General features: G+C 35.7%; 1 protein-coding gene across 10 annotated transcripts in view, besides 1 other annotated feature; it reads right to left on the bottom strand.

Annotated features, from left to right (window-relative positions):
* Positions 1–20,315, bottom strand: part of NAA16 (N-alpha-acetyltransferase 16, NatA auxiliary subunit) — a 65,764-nt gene that overhangs the window by 32,851 nt on the left and 12,598 nt on the right. For 5 of the 10 annotated variants that reach the window (NM_024561.5, XM_011535228.3, XM_047430611.1 and 2 more), the window contains 4 exons: positions 18,329–18,482; positions 15,337–15,456; positions 12,811–12,906; positions 7,424–7,530 (listed from right to left, as the gene is read on the bottom strand). In NM_024561.5, the coding sequence (NP_078837.3) occupies positions 7,424–7,530; positions 12,811–12,906; positions 15,337–15,456; positions 18,329–18,482 (477 nt within the window). Of the gene's footprint in view, positions 1–1,650; positions 2,770–7,423; positions 7,531–8,194; positions 10,804–12,810; positions 12,907–15,336; positions 15,457–18,328; positions 18,483–20,315 lie in introns of those variants that run through there. The other 5 variants (XM_006719866.4, NM_018527.4, XM_017020746.3 and 2 more) reach the window with 4 other exon arrangements.
* Positions 1,471–1,971: an enhancer, noted in NCBI's record as "H3K4me1 hESC enhancer chr13:41916345-41916845 (GRCh37/hg19 assembly coordinates)". NCBI's record gives its function as "activates a minimal SCP1, AML or CMV promoter by ChIP-STARR-seq in primed H9 embryonic stem cells {active_cell/tissue: H9 hESC(primed)}" and the evidence as "EXISTENCE:reporter gene assay evidence [ECO:0000049][PMID:30033119]".

Here is a 20,315-nt window from a genome sequence, read left to right as displayed (position 1 = left end):
ATGTTCATATCCTTTACCCACTGAATGACTCTGAGAGAAGAAAATATGAGAAGAAAATAATCCTAAGCAAAGCTAGTATAAAGATATTTAATAATAACTTGAAAAACCAAACAATGGAGGGATGGTTCTAAAAGGTTATGTAATAACTAAAAAGGATAATGAAGATTATATAACAACACAGTAAAAGCTTATGAAACTGCTGGGGCAGGGAGGTGGGTGTAGGTTCACACCTACAATCTCAGCACTTTGGGAGGCCAAGGCAGGCAAATCTCTCGAGTCCAAGATTTTGAGACCAGCCTGGGCAACAGTGAGACCCCACCTCTATAAAAAAAATTTCTAGGCCGGGTGCAGTGGCTCACGCCTGTAATCCTAGCACTTTGGGAGGCCAAGGCGGGCAGACTGCCTGAGCTCAGGAGTTCGAGACCAGCCTGGGCAACATGGTAAAACCCCGTCTCTACTAAAATACAAAAAAATAAAATAAAATTAGCCGGGTGTGGCGGTGTGCGCCTGTAGTCCCAGCTACTCGGGAGGCTGAGGCAGGAGAATCACTTGAACCCAGAGGTGGAGGCTGCAGTGAGCCGAGATGGTGCCACTGCACTCCAGCCTGGTGACAGAGCGAGACTCCAAACAAAAAAACCAAAAACAAAAACAAATTTTTAAAAAGAAACTGCTAGGGGGAAAACAAAGAACAAAATTTATGGTCAAAATGACTACAGCTGCATAGATACATCACAATTAAATTCACAGTAAAAAAAAACTGTGAAAGGAATTACATTTAAAATGCTCTTAGAGCTAGGCGTGGTGGCTCACACCTGTAATCGCAGTGCACTGGGATTCTAAGGCAGGAGAATCACTTGAGCCCAGAAGTTTGAGATCAGCGTGAACAATACAGCAAGACCCCATCTCTACAAATTAAAAAATTAACTAGGCATCGTGGCACGCGTCTACTCAAGAGGCTGAGACGGAAGGATCACTTGAACCCAGGAAGTCAAGGCTACAGTGAGCTACGATTGGGCCATTCATTGCTCTCCAGCCTGAGAGACAGATCAAGATGCTATTTCACTTATTTATAAAATAAATAAATAAATGTGTAAATGCTCTTAAATTGTATAGTCATGTGGCAGTTTATAATTGGATTTTGTTTGGGCTTCCCTCCCATTTTTTAAGATCTTTCCTCTGTTTTCCAAATTTTCTATATTGTAATTATAGCACTTTTTTGATGAAAAATTACTTCTAAACTTTTGTGCCAAGTTACTCAGCACTTTTACTATTTGAGAACACGGAAACTGATGGAAGAGTGCTACAAACTTACACAAATGCCAACAGAAAAGTGAGGAGATAAGATTCCTTATAAATATCATCAATGTGAAATGGTAATACACAACACACATTAGTTGTGTACCATATGAAATGGCTGGTCAAACATCTCACTCACTGTCCCACTGGACAACTTATCTATGGGCGTTACAGAAATAATTTGTTGGCATTATGACTCAGACCACCAGCAGACTATGGTACATATAAAATCTTCTCATTAAGCTGCTACAGATGTTGTGAATACTATGTTAGTTGTTTGTTTCTAGTTTTGATTTTTTATTATTGCTGTTATGCCAACTCGGGAACAGAAGGATTGAGACCCAATCAAAAAGATTACTAGGCAAGGTTCTTTATTCACACTTAGAAGAAATGGACACTATTTTATAGAGCCAGTAAGCAATTATTCATAATAAAAGTTTGGTCTGGGCCAGGCGCGATGGTTCACGTCTGTAACCCTGGAACTTTGGGAGGCCAAGGATGGCGGATTGCTTGCGCTCAGGAGTTCGAGACCAGCCTGGGCAACACGAGGAAACCCTGTCTCTACTAAACTACAAAAAATTAGCCAGGCATGGCAGTGTGCGCCTGTAGTCCCAGCTACTCGGGAGGCTGAGGCAGGAGGCTCGCTTGAACCTGGGAGGCGGAAGTTGCAGTGAGCCGAGAGCGTGCCACTGCACTCCAGCCTGGGCGGCAGAGCAAGACTCTGTCTCAAAAAAAAAAAAGAGAGAGAGAGAGGCCCGGTGCGGTGGCTCACGCCTGTAATCCCTGCACTTTGGGAGGCCGAGGCGGGCGGATCACGAGGTCAGGAGATCGAGACCATCCTGGCGAACACAGTGAAACCCCGTCTCTACTAAAAGTACAAAAAAATTAGCCGGGCATGGTAGCGGGCGCCTGTAGTCCCAGCTACTCGGGAGGCTGAGGCAGGAGAATGGCGCGAACCCAGGAGGTGGAGCTTGCAGTGAGCAGAGATTGCGCCACTGCACTCCAGCCTGGGCGACAGAGTGAGACTCCGTCTCAAAAAAAAAAAAAGGTTTGGTCTGATATAATATGTGAAAGACTACAATACAAAGTGACAGATGAAAACATCTGTGCACTTCAAGTACTTAACAGTTATTCTCTAAAAGTAGGAGATGTTCTTATTTTTTTCTTAGATAGGGTCTCAAGTCTGTGGCACAGGCTGGAGTGCAGTGGCCTGATCACAGGTCACTGCAACCTTGACCTCCAAAGCTCAAGAGATCCTCCCACCTCAGCCTTCCAAGTAGCTGGGAGTGCAGGTACATGCCACTATGACCAACTAATTGTCTTCATTTTTTGTAGAGACGGAGTCCTGTTATGTTGCCAGGCTTGTCTTGAACTCCTGATCTCAAGCGATCCTCCCACCTCAGCCTCCCAAAGTGCTGGATTACAGGCATGAGCCACCACGGCTGGCAAGTTGTCCCCTTTTTCTTGTAATCACTTGTAAGAAGAAAACAGTACATATTACCAGAACATTTAAAGTTGGTTATTACCTATAAATACACAACTGATATTTTCAATGAGATGATATCCACAAAAAATTAAGTTAGAAATATTCTTATCATTATCTTCAGTAAAAATGATACTATTTCAGTAAAGCATGAAAGATACTGAAATCTCTATGCTATATACAGCAACCTAAATATCCAGGACTTGAACTCATCGCTGTACCAAGCAGACCTAATAGACATCTACAGAACTCCCCACCCCAAATCAACAGAATATACACTCTTCTCAGCACCACATCGCACTTATTCTAAAATTGACCGCATAACTGGAAGTAAAGCACTCTTCAGCATTTCGTAAAAGAAAACATATCACAACAAACTGTCTCTCAGACCACAGTGCAATCAAATTAGAACTCAGGATTAAGAAACTCACTCAAGCTGGGCGCGGTGGCTCACGCCTGTAATCCCAGCACTTTGGGAGGCCGAGGCGGGTGTATCACGAGGTCAGGAGATCGAGACCACGGTGAAACCCCATCTCTACTAAAAAATACAAAAAAAATTAGCCGGGCACGGTGGCAGGCGCCTGCAGTCCCGGCTGATCTGGAGACTGAGGCAGGAGAATGGCGTGAACCCGGGAGGCGGAGCTTGCAGTGAGCCGAGATCGCACCACTGCACTCCAGCCTGGGCGCAATGAGAGAGACTCCGTCTCGGAAAAAAAAAAAAAAAAAAAAAAAAAAAAAAAAAAAAAAAAAAAACTCACTCAAAACCGCACAACTATATGGAAACTGAACAACCTGCTCCTGAATGACTACTGGGTAAATAACAAAATGAAGGCAGAAATAAAGATGTTCTTTGAAACCAACGAGAACAAAGACAAAACATACCACGATCTCTGGGACACATTTAAAGCAGTGTGTAGAGGGAAATTTATAGCACTAAATACCCACAAGAAAAGCAGGAAAGATCTAAAATCGACACCTTAACATCGCAATTAAAAGAACTAGAGAAGCAAGGGCAAACAAATTCAAAAGCTAGCAGAAGGCAATAACTAACTAAGATCAGAGGAGAACTGAAGGAAATACAGACACAAAAAACCCTTCAAAAAAATCAATGAATCCAAGAGCTGGTTTTTTGAAAAGATCAACAAAATGGAGAGACCCCAAAGCCTCACTCAAAGACTGGCAATTTTTTTTAAGTACTTTTCAAAACAAGTAAGCAAATGTATATCATCTCAGCAAGTTATCTGTTATGGACAGGACACCTATATAATGGATAATAAGAAACAAAACAATATTAACTTTAACAAAATCTAACTTAAAAGGGATATAAATATATTTTTAGTAATATTTTATTCTTATTTATAAAAGACAAGAACACCTTGATATCAGAGTTTATAGAAGATTCTATTTCAACATTAAAGAAAGCTGGGAAAATGAGAATTTCTCCTTTTCTTCACCAAAGATTTCTCCAAAACCTCACTGACAAAAGTAAAATGAGTGCCATTTCAAATACCTACCTATGTTTTTAAAAACCTTATGCAACTTAGTCGGGCACAGTGGCTCACACCTGTAATCCCAGCACTTTAGGAGGCCAAAGTGGGTGAATCACTTAAGGCCAGAGTTTGAGACCACCCTGGTCAACATCATGAAACCCTGTCTCTACTAAAAATACAAAAAATTAGCTGGGCATGGTGACAGGCACCTGTATTCCCAAGCTACTTGGGAGACTGAGGCAGGAGAATCGTTTGAACCCGGAAGGCGGAGGTTGCAGTGAGCCGAGATTGCACCACTGCACTCTAGCCTGGGCGACAGAGTGGGACTCCATCTCAAAAAAACAAAAACAAAACAAACAAACAAAAAAAAGTTATGGAATTTGTCTGACAACCACTCATTGCCTTCCACTCTACCCAAACTCTAGTTTGCCAAAAAAATTTAAATGCTGGAGACATTTAAGAAATACATTTCGGCCAGGCGCGGTGGCTCACGCCTGTAATCCCAGCACTTTGGGAGGCCGAGGTGGGCAGATCACCTGAGGTCAGGAGTTCAAGACCAACCTGACCAACGTGGAGAAACCTCGTCTTTACTAAAAATACAAAATTAGCCGGGCGTGGTGGCACATGCCTGTAATCCCAGCTACTCGGGAGGCTGAGGCAGGAGATTTGCTTGAATTGGGAGGCAGAGGTTTCGGTGAGGCGAGATTATGCCATTGCACTCCAGCCTGGGCAACAAGAGCGAAACTCTGACTCAAAAACAAACAAACAAACAAACAAACAACAACAACAAAAACAAGAAATACATTTCTTGCAACTGTACTACATTCTAAACTAACTTCAAAAGACAATTTCATTTTCATGATACCAACATGAATTACTCTTTAATATTTGGAAACTTACAAACAATAGCTGTTTGTCATACTTCACCTCCTTGAAATCCTTCCTCGAAAGTTAAAAATCCAGCTAACTACTAAAAACAGGTCTTACTGCTGCTTAGAAATGTGCAGTTTTTAAAATGGCTTCCTGGGGTGCAGTGCACACTGCTCAGGCGATGGGTGTACCAAAAATCTCAGAAATCACCACTAAAGAACTTATCTGTGTAACCAAACACCACCTACTCCCCAAAATCTATTGAAATAATTTTTTTGAAACTACAAAAAAAGTCAAACACAAAACTTACAAAATTTAATTGAAAAATAAATATTAAAAAATAAAATAAATAAAATGGTCTCATGAGTAAATCACAGATACATGTGGCCAAAATTATTTGAGAAACAGTTCTTAGACTTGCAAATTTTTTCTCACTATACTAAATTCAGATAACTGGAGCTCAATTTTCTGCAGTTTAATTCATTTTGCAAACACACTTGGTGTTCTGGCATTTCTAATAATATAGCATTCCTGTTGCTTGCTTTAAAATTAACACTAAAGAGATGGTTCCTGTATGAATTAGTGTATTCTCAGTGCCTTATTCAAAAACATAATTTTCATGCTTTATATAAAATACCAAAAAAAAAGTTTAGCATTTTTGTAATGGCAACTTTGGATCAATATTAGAAGAATTTTTAAAAAGTAAAAAGCCTATGCCTATGAACAACACCCTGTGAAAGCCCCGTGATAGCTTAAGAGAAACAAATCCTTTAATGTCCACTGTAGTCAGTAGCTGCTGCAATACTGTTATAAAAGAAGTACTCTAATTCACATACATAAGATTTCTTTTTATTTCTGGCATTTCATCTAACCTTTCTTCTCTGTCACCCTCACCAAAAAGAACAAAAGAATTTTACCCAATGTTAAATAATCTAGAGAAATTATTGGCAGGCACCGGGTACATGTTTACACAGAAATCAATCACTATCTCTCAAAAAACTGACAACAGAAACACTGCAGTCAAATAGACCATACAACAGACATTAAGGAATTGTAAGGGTTTTTTGGGTTTTTTTGTTTTTTTTAACATAAATGATGTTTTTTTCTAACTGGGTACTAGATATCATCAGTTGTTTCTTTTGTTTATGAAACCTGCTGCCACAGGTAGGAAAATGCCAATCAGCTATATCTATAACTGATGTTTCCAACATTGTATTATTCACAATTACTGCAAATTTACAAATTATTATGAATCAAAGCTAAATAAATATGACAGAAGCTTAACTAAAATTTTTTTGGCATTTCTAATAAAATCTTTTCCTTATCCAGTAGTAACTTTAAAAAACTGACTATAGAAAAGACAACAAGATTTTAGACTTTAATAAGAAGCAACACTTGGAAATAAAAGTATAACTTGCTTTCTATTAACTTTTAATTATCTTTCTAATTTAAGACCAAGATTTAAGTGCCTATTTTCGAAATTTTTTTTTTTTTTTTTGAGACGGAGTCTCGCTCTGTCACTCAGGCTGGAGTGCAGTGGCGCGATCTCGGCTCACTTCAAGCTCTGCCTCCCAGGTTCACACCATTCTCCTGCCTCAAGCTTCCGGGTAGCTGGGACTACAGGCGCCCACCACCACGCCCGGCTAATTTTTTGTATTCTTACTAGAGATGGGGTTTCACCGTGTTCGCCAGGATAGTCTCAATTTCCTGACCTCGCGATCTGCCTACCTCAGCCTCCCAAAGTGCTAGGATTACAGGCATGAGCCACCACACCTGGCCTATTTTCTAATTTTAAAAAGCAGAAAGACAATTCTTTATTCAAGAACTAGCTAAACCTGTATTTATTAAAATGTAGCCTACTGATTAAACCTAGTAATTTGTACCAGTAATTTGACCAAATTGCATTTTACTGTTGCACTAACTCAATTATCCAAGCTCTAACTTTAAAAGCATGCATAACTAATTTAAAAATCCATAACTGTACCATAAAATAATAATCACAAAATAAATATATACCTTTGGTAACAATGTCAAATTTAAAATCCTACTAAAAAAAAGTATACCTATTAAAAATAAACAACCTTTATAATCTTAGTGCTTTCATAAACCCTTTACTTTGATATTACTTATACTACAGGCATGTAATTTCAGTACATGACTGAAAGTAAGGTAACATTACTGAAACAAAGAAAATGATTAAGTAATAGCACATTATTTACATGGACATCTTTCTACAGTTTAGTAAAAAAGACTATAGCAAATCTGAATAAATACCAAATTTTACCTTTTCTGTATTGTAATATAAAGATTTCAAAGTAGTAAACAAGGGTGGGCAGCCTTTACTGAAGTTAACCCTCAGGAACTTATCCATTAGTTCTCTAAATCTTTCACCTAGAAACAAAAGCGTACTTTGTTATTCTTTGGTTCACGCAAACAATTCTTAAAATGATTTTCTAAATAAAAATAAAGCTCCCTCAGAAGCAATTATGCTCCTATCCAATTTATAAACCCAAAAAGTCATAGTTTTAAGTAAAAGTTATCAACTATCCATTCTGAATTTAGCACAATATCAAATATCTTTCCTAATCTCTCACTGACTAGCACACTCAGTCTACAGCTCAAAACCCTGCAGATATGCATAAAGCACTCTGCAGCAGACTACCAGCACTATATTCAAGTGATAGCCAAAAGATCTTTTTAAACACTAAGCTGGTGTTTACAAATGTTTTCCCAAATCAACTTGTCATTTACTTCAACACTCATTCATTCATTCATTCATTCCACAATAATGTGTCAAGCACTTACTACATGCCAGGTACTGTTCTAGGTATTGAGGATATAGCAGTGATTAAAATTTAAAAAAAAAAAATTTTTTTTTAAATAGAACTTAACATCTCAGTGAGTGAGACCAACAATAAAAGTAAAGTAAATTTATGTTAGACATTAGACTGAGCCATGGGCATTCTAACATTACAACTAAATAAATACCCTATTTGCAACATCAAGTCAATAATTCTTTCATTGCTAAACCCCAGAAATGATTTTTGTCATCACCTTTTGAAAGCAGAGAATATTCAAAGAATTTTAATTTTAAATACAAAGATACAAGAATTTTTTGACAGTATGGACTAATACATAAGGACATGGATTTACCTAATCATTTGGGGGAAAAAAAAAAAAACACATGTATGTCATGAATGATTTAGCCTCAAGTAAGATGACTGAAATGACCTCCTATGGTTTCTTAATGAATCACAACACTGCACAACAAAATCTAACAACCCAAAATGGTTATTTTTATTTGTTGTGACTATGTTGAACAAAACATGCATGCATACTCAATATAATTAGATGTCATAAAAAAATTTAACTCCATTAACTATAAAGATTGTATTCAGATAATCTCTAATCTCTTATTAGATCATACACAAAATACTGGTCTTTTGAAAAATCACAGATTACGAAGACAACATAAAACTTCATCCTGGGTTAAATTATACACCACTGCTTCTTTAAAAATCAAAAATAGTTTCAGAGACCGAACCTTTCCAGTAATTCCTCTGGTATACAACGAAATTAACAATATTGTGGTAGACAATAAGAGACGCTGTTTCTTAGAGGAATGCAGACTTCTCCACGTATTTGTGTGCAACCTTGGGCAAATAACTTGTCCATTAAAAACCTTAGTTTTATCACTGTAAAATGAAGGCAATACCATCACTGACCTCAAGAGTACATTTGTATGGCTCAAACGAGATAAGAATATAACAGTAAACAATGTCTTGCACGTAGTAATCACTCAATAAATGTCTCTTCTCTGATATCTGACAGTTTTTATATTTTCGAGTTAATATTTTGTTTTCTATTCTTGCAATCACCCGCTGAGGAAACAAGCCTTTTATCTTCATGGCAGAAGCCACTCTGAACTCCTCCTTGGTCAACTTTCTCAGTCTATTCAGATCATATTGACAAATTTGATTAGATTGTGCAGGTATGAAAAAGAATGGGGAAGCTCTTGAAGTGCTGATCCAGGACTAATCTCCAAATACGAGGTTAAGTGAAAAGAAAACCCAGGTGCGCAGCAATCCATCAATCCATGTTACTGCACTTTTGCAAAAAGCACAGTGGGGGGGGTGACCTTAAACAAATCTCCCACACATATTTTGGCTCACACATGCACAATGTATTTGTAGAAGAATACACCATCAGCTGATCACAATGGATGTCTTCAGGAAAGTAAACTTAGTTGCCAGGGGACAGACAAGAAAAAGACTTCACTTATAAACTCTTTTTACCTAATTTGCAACTGTGTGAATACATCACCTAAACAAGAAGCCTACACAGCTACCCAACTGCTCAGTCACATACCATATCCCCAGATTACTTATTATTTATCCATCTCATTTTTTCCATCAATTATTATGTGCCTGTTTAGTATTACTGCTCACAAAACAGGTTACCTGAATAATTCTCATCTAGATACATTAGCATGATGTCCCCAAAACATGATGTCCATATTTACATGAATTCCTAAAATAATCAGTGTAAACAGCAAGAATAGACTGTTTCTTATTCACTGGAAATCCGTTCTAAATAATGGAGCAAAATATAATTAGTATTCTATGTTTAATACTCTGGATTATTTCCTTCCCTCTCTCTACCCTTCAGCCAGTGCATAATGGAACATGATGAACTGATTATTTTGAAAAGCAGCTTTATCCCTTCATTATTTTTAGAGTGCTTAATATTTTCAGGTGTTAGAAAATTTCCTTATTGTTCTGTAGGTATGAAGCCCTTTTACCTAAAAAGTGGAAAGGCTTTTTCAAAACTTTCACCTTGCATTCTCAAGATGCATCATGTTTCTTGAGGAAGATCTTACTGCTTTTGATAATGCCAAGACGGCTTTCTAATTGCACATAAAAGCACTTCTAGACAGGCAAAAAAATCATGAAATATTCGGCTTTGCACAGAGAAAATTAAGTATTTGCATAATTTTATATATATTCACTGGAGCTTTGTAAATACACATTTGTCAGAACCTCAAAGCGATGATGACCTTGAAAGCCTATGCCATCAGACCCCTCCACTGAGACCTGTTTTGTAAAAAGATTTTTATGGCATTTCAAAGACAGCATGTCCTAGAGAGTCTAGGATGGTTCCACTTTAACCTAAATCACACTTTACAATAAAAAAAAAAACTCTAAGCTCTTCCAGTAAAAATATATTTCCTACCCTATACTGCCACATATTGAGGGCTTTTAGTAAACTTATATTGTCTATGGAAATAAATTTAGGCAGTATAAACCTGAAGCCCCATGTTCCAAATGAGAAAAAGAGAACAAAGAAGTCTTGTTCGTAATCTTAAAGCTAAGCGAGGTTTCTTTCTTTCCTAAGAAGCATATGAATGTATTTTAAAGCTCCTAAGGAAATATCCCCCCCACACACAATATATTGTGAAACACAAAATATACCTTGAGACCAATAAAAGGAGGAGAAGTCAGAAACTAAAGACCACATATGGTATGATTCCATTTATTTCAAATGTCCAAAAACAGACAAATCCATAGGTACAGAAAGTAGATTTGTGGTTGCCAGGTGCTGTGGTTGAGGGGTGACAGGGAGTGAAATAGGTATGGGGTTTCTTTTTGGGGTCATGAAAAATTTCTGAAAGCAGACAGAGATGATGGTTGCACAACATGATTAATATACTAAAACACTGAATTGCACACACTTTTTAAAAGTGAGTTTTACGGTATATGGATTATATTTCAAAAAGCTATTATTTTTTAAAACAAAGAGGAGAAGGAAGAAATACAGAAATGTAAGCCTAAGCATCTTCCACAAGACACTTTTATTAGGGAAAATACTCCTCACTACGCATATACTCCCATCTTTGAAATTCACAAAGTGTATATTAAAAGCTCTGAGAAGTCCTATAGAAACCTGATAGCTGTGTCTAACCCAGTTTCCCAAACTTACTTGGCTGAAGAACAGCAAAAGCACACTAACACCCTCCCCACCAAGCCTATTAATATCCACTTGGACTTAATGTTCCCTGGAAAACATTAGAGAAATCTGCTCTCTGTATTCTACAAAAACAAAACCAAAAAAATGGAGGATCAGAAGAACACTACTCTTCATATGTGGAATTGAAATGCAATAGTATAAAATGAATTTTTAAAATCAATTTCTATCTACTGTCTAATCAAATACATTTCTAAAAGGTATTTCACAAGTCAGTCAACTAAAAATTTTTAATTTTCATCAATATTTTGGTAAAAATAAACTTATAACCCAAGTATTTAAACAAATATTTGCCACTATGAGAATAGAAAATAAACTCCTCGCCTCTCCAGAATACTTTTAAGTTGTATTAGCTTTCTAGACTCTGACTTGTGTCAAAAGAAATACCAGAAGTCCCAATATACAATTCATAATCTATAGCACTTACAACTAAAAATAAAGACTTCAACAAAAACACATAATTTTTTAAAAACTCAACAAAGATATTAGCTACCTGAAGAGCTAATATACTGTCTACGTCCTATGTAGCTCAAAAGTAAATGAGTTCAGCTACATACAATAACTCGACTCAAGGTCATGAATATACTATTGTACAATAAAAGCAAATCACAGAATATATACCGGAGTACTCCTATTTATATAAAGTACAAAAGCTGTTTTTGTTTTCAGGAATACAAAATACATGGAGCTCTAAAAATAAAAGTAATGGCAAAAGAAAAAGCAAAACTCGGGAAAGTGGTTAACTCTGAGGGAATGATGATGTTCTGTTCTTAAAACACCATAGTGGGTGCAAACAGCTCACAACTATTTCTTTGAATTTATGCTCAAAAAAGAAGACAAAAACTTCAAAACTATAGCTTGAGCCCAGGGGTTTGAGGCTACAGTGATTGCGCCACTGCACTCCAGCTCCAGCCTGGTAACAGAGCAAGATCTTGTCTCGGAAACAAAAACAAAAACACAAAAACTTCAAAACTTTTACCACTCAAATCATGATACCACATATAATTTGTCACTAATTATAGGGAATTTACCTTCTAAATACGGTGCTTTTTAAAAAGTCACATTAAGAAAAGCAGTTTTTCTACCAATACATATTATTTATATATATTTAGGCAGTACATGATATTTTGTTACATACAGAGAACGTGTAACGATCAAGTCAGGGTATTTAGGGTACCTATCGCCTCGATTACTTATCATTTCTATGTGCTGCGAACATTTCAAGTCCTCTCTTTTGCTATCCTGAAATATACAGTATATTGTTGTTAACTACAGTCCCCTTACTCTGCAAACACTGAAACTTATTCCTTCTATCTAACTGTATGTTTGTACCCATTAACCAACCTCTCTTCATCTCTCCCCCACACTCCCCTTGCCAGCTCTGATATCTATCATTCTTTCTACCTCTATGAGATCAACTTAAGAAAAGCAGTTTTATATTTATATAGATAACTTCAAATATTAAAATCAACATTTAACTACACATTGAAGTATCACACTCTTAACATATAAACTCATAACTGTTCACTCCCAACTCCAAGACTGCTGTAAACATAAACTCTATACCAGAAACACGTTTCTAAAATATAAATAACATTGAGTAATTCTGACAAATAATTAATATTATAAAAGACATCTTAATATTACCTGGGACAAGAGTCAAAGGTAATCTTCTGGGTGTAATTGCTTTGGGGTGCTGCTTACTAATTTCTTCATAAATTTGAAGCCTCTCTTCTAAAGTGCCTATTATCAGTAAATATGGGTGAGATTCATAGCATCAAAACTTTTATCTATGGTAAAATGCTAACAAACTTCTAAAATTTTGTTATAAATAAAACTGCATTAACAATATTAAAGCTGCTTTCAATTTTGGTAAAAATGACATTTAAAACTCTGTGGTGGCAAAATACTATAATCAGTTAAGTCACTGTTTTAAACTCATCTCCAGAAAAATCCAAAACTTCTCTCATTGCAAGATTCTAAATACAACCCAAATCACATATACAAGCCATCACAGACTCAAGATATGCTGCACTTCTCTATATTCCTTTAGCATACAACTCATGGAAAAGAAAATCTTTTTATAACGTAGGTCTAATAACATAACCTACGTAAACACGCTGAATCAAAGAAACCTACATATATCCCCATAAAAGCCTCAAAGGAGCAACAGTTTTAGGATTACGATTGCAAATGTTTAAAATATAAGAAGATAAACTAAACTTCCATGTTAACTTTAACACTTAAAATCTTCAATGAAACTCCATTATCCTTCCAAAAGATATAAATTACACTTCTAACAGAAAGTTGTATCTTCCCACCCAAGAGACACCTAATTTTATAGTACCACATAAAGGATGTATCTATACATAAACTACATGTTACTCTGAAACAACAATAAGCAAGCAAATAGGATCTGGGTATAGTTTATCTTTCTAAAATAATATCCTGCATAATTCACAAAGAGATTTATAAGCAATAAGATAATTTATAGTGGAATTTTAAGAAAAAGCAAACAAACCTGTTTTTGAACTATAAAGTTTTAAGTAGATTTTAATCCAAATTCTGTGGTCTAAACCACAGAAAAATAACTATCCTAAGAATAACCCTGGGTGCTAGCAGACAAGGTATCTCTGTAGTAAATGTAGTTTATAAGTATTGATATTCAAGATTAATATCAAGCATCAAGATTGTAAACACCACATTTGAAGAGGTGTGATCTCGTTTAGACGCATTCCTTCCCCCAGTAATATGTTTTGGAGCTCCAATGTGGTTGGATTTTAAGACCAAGGATATGTGTGGGGGGTAAAAAAACAAAAACAAAAAAACAAAAAAAAACCTCGCTCTCTGTTAATGATTTGGAGACTTCACAAAATATTAAAGACCCTTATACTAACACATAAATGAACTGCATATAAGTATTTTAAAAATACTCTCATGTTCGTGCCTAATCGTAGAGAACAACAAGCGCCAAGTATGAAAAAAAAAAATTATCCACTACCCTAGATATAACAAGCCGTATAAATCCTACTTAAAGTCACAAGTTGGAGCTCCAGAACTTACCACGGGGAAGGAAAGGTCATAAGTTACCTAAAACAATAGTGTAATTAGTTTTGTAATCAATACATTTTATAGTAACCAAGAATCCTGACATATGGAACATATTATTCATTTTAGTAAAACATGAAAATATTTTTATAAATCGTAATGTTACTAGTTTAAAGAAAAATCGTAGTTAACCCATGTTTTCAGCCTTCACACATATGAGCTTTGCTGTTTTCTTCAGATTATTACTTTAATCAATATTGTGATTTTAATCATTTTCTTAAACTAAATTTTTAACAATTTGTAGTGTTAAATTTTAAACATAAAAAGAACACCAGAATTAATACCAGTGAGGATACAACAATTAAACTTTTCTTGTAGCTTATACTACTATAAATGAATGTGGGTAGCTACCTATTTACCAAACTTTTTAAATTTAAAAATTCTAAAAAAAAAAAAAAAAAATTCTGCTGTTTCAACATCTTTGAGCCAACTTCATAATTATTTCAGGAATATATTTATTCATGAGTAAATATGATTTTAGGAATATTAACAGTTCCTGCCAACACTTAATTATGAAAATATTACAAAAATCTTGGACTGACACTAGAGTTCTGAAAAGGGTCAAAGTTACCAAATTTCAAAGGAAGATATGTAACATTTTGCTCTACACAAATTAGCCTAGTTTGAAATCAAAGCAAATATCCTCAACAATAATTATTTGGCCCAATTCTTATATTTAGAGGTTGAGGGTAATGAATCTCTAATGATTTTAAAATATTAAATAGTTACAACACTTCCCAGAAAGGGAATGCTCATTTTCTTTCCCATGTCCCTACTCTAAATTGGTATGGTTTTTTTTGTTTTGGTTTGGCTTTGTTTTATTTTTGCCTCACCTTCCAATACTATCACAGGTAAGGGTCAAGGAACCTAACATATCTGCAATCACTTACACTTAAGTGTAACTATTTGAATTCATTTTTACTCCCATGTTTAACCTATAATTTTACTAAATGGAAAAATGAGTACTAATGCTAAAATTATTTGTTCCCAAGTATTATTACAACTTTACATTTTATTATACTTCAATCAGTAGTTATGAGAAAGAGGAGAAAAATCATTACATACTAATTTGTAGAGCTTTTTCCAAGCCTTCATAATAACACCAATTTTCTGCATTTCGATCAATCAAGTTTTTGAACACTTCACTGGCTTCTTTTAATCTTCCCAATTTCAACAGTATTTCCCCTGAAATTAAGTTTAAAGACATATTCATTTTAAACATTAAATATCTATCTGACCCCAGGGACTTCACTAAACATTATCAGTGAACAGATGGTTAAAAAGACAGAACTCTGTATGCTTCCCCTTTGGGCATGTTGCAGTTCATGTAACTAAGCATAGCTTGCCTTCAGAAGTGAACCTTCATTTGTACCTTTATTTTTGGCTCCCTCTTACACTCCAAACAAATACATAGGACATTAATTTGTTAGTAAAAAAACTTTTGCATTACACACATCTTATACTCTTTGAAATAAGTAAAGACACACACAAACACATCAAAATTAGATTGGCAAATAATGCTAGTGAAACATTCCTATCTTCCTACTACAAGATTTAAATATATCTTTCCTATCAGTTCATATATTAATTCTCCACTCAATTCTCATTGTTTCAAGGTCACTAAAACTGGAGAAGTTTAACTCAGTGAAATTATAACACTAAACACCACTTTGTAACAGGAAACCACACAAGCCATGTTCATGTACAGGTCAGCTCAGCGGGTTGGTAAAAGGTCAAATCCTTTTACTAAGCCACACAAATTAAGAGGTGGTGTGGAAAATGAGGTCCCAGACCTCTCAAATACGATGGAAACACACCTAATCCAAGATAAAGGGGAGATTCTCAAAAAAGAACATACCTCAGCTTCCTGCCCTCAAGATTACCCATTCCCCAAACAATCTATTTCAAATAACCCTTTAAAATGTCTTCAAGTCATACTATTTCTGCTTTCATCATGTTGGAGGAGGCAGTATATTATAGCAGGTCTTATGTACTATTTTTTTTACTATTTTTATATCATATATCACTCAAACTCTAGAATAAGACTGAACTAGGAATAATTACCAACTCCACCACTAACTAGTTTTGTGACGTGGAGAAAGTGCCTTTGTGACAGCACACTGCCTGTCACAAAATGAATACATATAAATGTCTGCTACTTAAAACTTTAAACATGCCCCATTCCTCCATGATTATCTTCTGGCCAATTTTTACCCTGCTTATCCCAGATATAATAGACAACAGCGTATTTTTCATTTCAAAAAACATCTGTTATCTGCTACTACCATGAAGCAAAGGTTATTACTAGAGGAATGCATTCACGGTGTATACTAACTTGAATTAATTTCACTGTACCATATTTACTTTTCAAAAACTGCATTCCCTATTTGCTTTTATTTTGAAGATTAAATAATCTAACCTAACTGCATTCCCTATTTGTTTTTTTTTTTAAGATTAAATAATCTCACATATGGATTATATTGAATGCATTTCCTATTGATGCTACAGGACAAATACCAAAAAAGAGAAACAGCAACCTGAGTTAAGATTTAATCAGGAAATGACAATAATATTTCAGAAAGGAAAATAATTGCCTTTTTTCCTCTTTGCTACCATCAATAAGTAACAGAACAAGATAGAAACCAGAATATTTAATTATTTACCCATATTTTATCAATAACTTTTAAAAGTGTCATTAATATGAATTACAATAAAAACTAAATCACTCATGTACTATACATTAACCAGAAAGAGTATAGTAGTTAAAAGTAAGACGCTCATGAAAAGGTATGGGAAAAAAAACATACACTACTAAGTGAAAAAAGCCAATCTTTCTCAGGCAAGAGATGATTTGGCAAAAATAAAGCCAATCTGAAAAGGCTACATACCGTATGATTCCAACTATATGATATTTTGGAAATGGCAAAACTATGTAGAGGGTAAAAAGATCAGTGGTTGCCAGGGGTTTGCAGGAGTGAGGGATGGAAAGGTGAAACAAAGGATGTTTAGGGCAGTGAAACTACTTTGTATAATACTACAGTGGTGAATACATGTCATTATACATTTGTCAAAACCCATAGAGCATGACAGTGGGAAAGGCTGTGGGTATACAGGGATATATGGGAACTCTCTGCACCTTTTTCTAGATTTTACTGTGAACCTAAAACTGTCCTGAAAATGTCTATTTTTTAGAAAAAAGTAAGGGCTCTGAAGTCAGGGAATGTGTTGATGTGCTTGGAAACTATAACTCTACCACTTAAAAAGCTGGATGACTTTGGGCAAGTCCTTAACCTCTCTAAGCCTCAGTCTCTTCCACTATAAAATGGGGTTAATAAATAGCATCCATCTTAAAAGTGCTAAAAAATTAAATGAAATAAAGCAATTTAAGCAATTACCATACTCAAATAGAAGAAGAGTTTTAAAATCTATATTAGCTATTATTTTTATTAAGAGCTTCAGACTTCAGAGGTTCTACAATTGTATGGAACTTTAGTTCTAAACTATTATTTTAGCTGGACATTCAATTTAATACATTATTGCTCAGGGAAAGGGAATTAATGAGCAAAGCTCTGTGAAAATTTTTGTTTGACCCCTTGTTGATGAATGCTGTTAAAACTATAGGGATCCTGTCTTCATAATTAGCCCATAATGAAAATAAATGACCTTTGTGTTCATGATGATCCCAGTATCATCAGTTATGGTTCTCACTGTATTTAATTAACTATATATGGATATACAGAGATACATATTCAATATGAAGGCAGTGTAATATACTGCTTAAGGGAATGAAATCTGGATTCAAATCCAGCACTCTCCAGTTTACTAAACTGTATGATTTGGGGCTACTCAATCTCTCAGTTCCCCCATCTCCAAAATAGATATAATAACTACAACATAGGGTTGTTATGAGGATTAAACTAGTTAATAATGGCTTAATAATCGTGTTTGGAACCTTGCCAGATACATAACAACTGTTACGTAAGACTTAGGAGAGAATAAAATATATAGTTTTTTTGTTTTCTGTTTGAGGCTATTAAAAAAAGGCAAGCCAACTTACCTTTAATTTCTTCCACCAAAAGTTTATCACATATTTGTTTCTCATACATTTCTATATGTTCCAAAGATTCCTGCAACAGATCTGCCTCTCTCATCACTTGATTCTGGTATAATATCAATTCACTATATTCATAATCTATTTTGTTTGGAGGAACCTGAAAAAAAATGACCAAATTACTTTATTTGTATAATTATATAAAGCAGTTACAGACCTTTAATTAAACTGCCTTCTCAGGAGAGTCATTCACATAAACAAGAAAGCAACCCACAAGCAGATACAAACAGAAGAGTGATTAATAACACAAAAAATGAATGCATTATTTAAAACAAATAATAGGGTGGGACTTCTGTCTATTCCCAAGTGACACAGGTCAAGAAATCCTACATACAAATATAAAAATGGTTGAAATACTATAGAATCTACAAAAAAAAAACTACTAGAGTTAATAAAAGTGTTTACCAAAGTCACAGAATAAAATATCAATGAAGACAAATCAATTACAGGTATACCTTGGAGATATTGTGGGTTTGGTTCCAGACCACCACAATAAAGTGAGTGACACAATTTTATGGTTTCCCAGTGCATGTAAGTTCCGTTGGCCAGGCACGGTGGCGCACATCTGTAACCCCAGGTCTTTGGGAGGCTGAGGTGGGTGGATTACCTGAGGTCAGGAATTCAAAACAACCTGTCCAACATGGTGAAACCCCGTCTCTACTAAAATACAAAATTAGCCTGGCGTGGTGGCACATGCCTGTAATCCCAGCTACTCAGGAAGCTGAGGCAGAAGAATCGCTTAAGCCCGGAAGTGGAGGTTGCAGTGAGCTAAGATTGCGCCACTGCACTCCAGCCTGAGCAACAAGAGTGAAACTCAGTCTCAAAAAAAAAAAAAAAAAACTAAACTAAAAAAGTTATATTAACACTACACTATAGTCTATTAACCATGCAGCAGCATTATGTCTTAAAAAAAAAAAACACAACATTGTCAGGCACAGTGGTATACCTGTAGTCCCAGCTAGCCTCCTGCCTCAGTCTCTGGAGCAGTCCTAGCTAGGAGTTCAAGTCCTAGTCGTAGCCTAAGAGTTCAAGACTGTAGTGCATAGCCACAGCACTTCTGCCTGGGCAACACAGTCAGATCCTGTCTCTAGAAAAAAAGTAAAGGAAAAAAAAAAACAGAAATTGGCCGGGCACGGTGGCTCACACCTGTAATCCCAGCACTTTGGGAGGCAGAGGCACGTGGATCACAAGGTCAGGAGTTTGAGACCAGCCTGGCCAACATGATGAAACCCCGTCTCTACTAAAAATACAAAACTTAGCCAGACCCAGTGGTGGGGGCCTGTAATCCCAGCTACTCGGGAAGCTGAGGCAGGGTAATTGCTTGAACCTGGTAGGCGGAGGTTGCAGTGAGCCGAGATTGCACCACTGAACTCTAGCCTGGGCGACAGATCAAGACTCTGTCTCAAAAAAAAAAAAAAAAAAAAAAAAAAAAAAGAAAGAAAGAAATTGCAAACACCTAAATCTAACCATCAAAATGTCATAATTTTGTGTTCAAAGGAAAGTTTTTTATCAAGTCCACCAAATGTGATACAGTACTATCTTTTGGTCAGAACTTGATTCTTGGATAAAAACAAAGAACCAGTCTAATCAATTCTCTGGTGTGACGTAAAAAGCTAAAAACCTAAGTAAAGACGGTGGCCTTACTACAAAGTTTATTTCCTCCCTTAAGAGAGTAAAAATAGCAGATTAAAAAATATAAAAACCCATAAATAGAAGATACTATTTAAGATTTCAACAAATTTCTAGAAAACAGAATGCAAAGGAGGAGTAAGTGAAATAGGATGGAAGAAGCTCAAGTCTAGAGTATCCATAAAGAGGAAATTACTACAGAGAATGCCTATCTGTCCTGGAAAACTCCAGACAGGGTCAAGATTATGAAATGACAGATAAACAGAGGAGTGGAAAAGAGACTCAAGGTTGGTGGATTAACTCT

Source organism: Homo sapiens, chromosome 13, assembly GCF_000001405.40.
Source record: "Homo sapiens chromosome 13, GRCh38.p14 Primary Assembly".
Lineage (NCBI taxonomy): Eukaryota > Metazoa > Chordata > Mammalia > Primates > Hominidae > Homo > Homo sapiens.
Note: the sequence above shows the minus strand (reverse complement) of the source record. Positions and strands in the feature narration are given on the sequence as shown.